The sequence below is a fragment of the Homo sapiens genome, chromosome 15, assembly GCF_000001405.40.
Source record: "Homo sapiens chromosome 15, GRCh38.p14 Primary Assembly".
NCBI classification, from domain to species: domain Eukaryota; kingdom Metazoa; phylum Chordata; class Mammalia; order Primates; family Hominidae; genus Homo; species Homo sapiens.
In genome coordinates, this window is record NC_000015.10 from 20,190,062 (window position 1) to 20,191,950 (window position 1,889).

Sequence of the window (1,889 nt, forward strand, 5' to 3'; positions counted from 1 at the left end):
CTTGTCTAGATCAAAATAACATGTACTTCAGTGAATGATTTCAGCTGGTTGATAAAATCAAAGTTTACCAGAAGGCATGAAAGTTCAGAGATCCCCTTACCATTTCAAAGGGGGTTTGTACTTTAAAGTCAATCTACATGTCACCTCACACCCATTATGATGGCCACTATTTAAAAAGAAAACAGAAAATAGCAAGGGTTAGCACCAAGGTGGAGAAATTAGAGCCCTTGTGCACTGTTGGTGGAATGTAAAATGATCCTGCCATTATGGAAAACAATATGGAGGTTCCTCAAAAAATTAAAGCTAGGATTACTGTATAATCTAGTGATATGGTTTGGCTCTGTGTCCCCACCCAAATCTCATGTGGAATTGTAATCCCCACGTGTTGAAAGTGGGGCCTGGCAGGAGGTGATTGGATCACGGGGGTGGTTTCTAATGGTTTTGCATCATCCCTCTAGTATTGTCTCATGACAGAGTTCTCATGAGATCTGGTTTTTAAAAGTGTGTAGCACATCCTCCTCCACTCTGTCTCTCTCTCCTGCCACCATGTGAAGATATGCCTGCTTCCCCTTCACCTTCTGCTGTGATTGTAAGTTTCCTGAGGCCTCCCAGTCATGTTTCCTGTACAGCCTGCAGAAACTGTGAGTCAATTAAACCACTTTTCTTCATAAATTACCCAGTCTCAGGTAGTTCTTTATAGGATTGTGAGAATGGACTAATACATCCAGCAATCCCATTTCTGGGCATATATCCAAAAAAGAATTGAAAGCAGTATCTTGAAGAGATATTGGTACATGTGTGTTCATAGCAGCACTATTCACAATAGCCAAGAGCTGAAACCAACCCAAATGCTCATTAAAAGATGAATGGATAAACAAAAGAGTGTGTTTCTTTAAATGTGATTTTATGCTGGGATCATAGAGAACCCTGGATTTTATGCAAATGAGTGGGAAAAAAATTAACCCAACACAAAAAAGTAGGTTTATACTGATCATACAGGACAACACCTTTCAAGATTGTAAAAAGTTAAAACTTTTCTCTCTTCACATCACCTGTAATGATGACACCCCATAAAGATTTTTCTCTATGTATCCTTAGTTTTGCACAATCCCCTGGCCCCAGTGCTGCATCCCCATATCCCAATTGAGAAGAATATGCCAATATTTAAGGACACACAATAAGGTCAGCACATCAAGCTTCAGGACTTACACCCTCCATAAAAGAGAAAATTCTCCTTTCTCATGCCACTCTCTCAAAGCCAGGGTTCCTGAAGAAAGGATTTCTGGTGTCATTACACAAAGGAGATCCTGGAAATTAAGGTTTGCCATGGGTTATGTCCAGTACTGGAATAAACACAGAATTATTGAGGTACCTTCCTCTGTCTTCTTTGCAAACTCCTCGTTGCAGCTCCTTCCTTGCAAACCCCTCTGTCTTCCTTGCGAACCCCTCATTATAGCTCAGAACTCTGCTTTGGCATTGCCTCCTGGTAAAGCCCCTGCTGCATCCACCCTTCCAACCACACTTCCTCACTCTCCTCCGCACCACTTTGGTGCTGCAGGAGTTACACTTTCTGTTGCAAAGATCAAGTATTCTCGGGTGACCTCTGGTGTTGTGGGTGATTGGAAAGATACTTAAGGCAATAAGGAAGCACAGGTATGACACTAGGCAGGTTGTAGTCCAGCCTCCCAGAGCCCTGGGATGTCAGTAAGGGCTCCCCTTTGAGTCAGTAATGGTAATGCCCCCTTGAGAAGAGGGACCTTTGGCCCCTGACTCCTGACGGTGCCGTACTCACAATTCCACTTCTCTCCTTCACCTCTCTGTGCTTCCGCTTCTCACTAGTTCAGCTGTTACCTCCACTTTTGTTTCTTTCTAATTCTACTCTGGTTCTG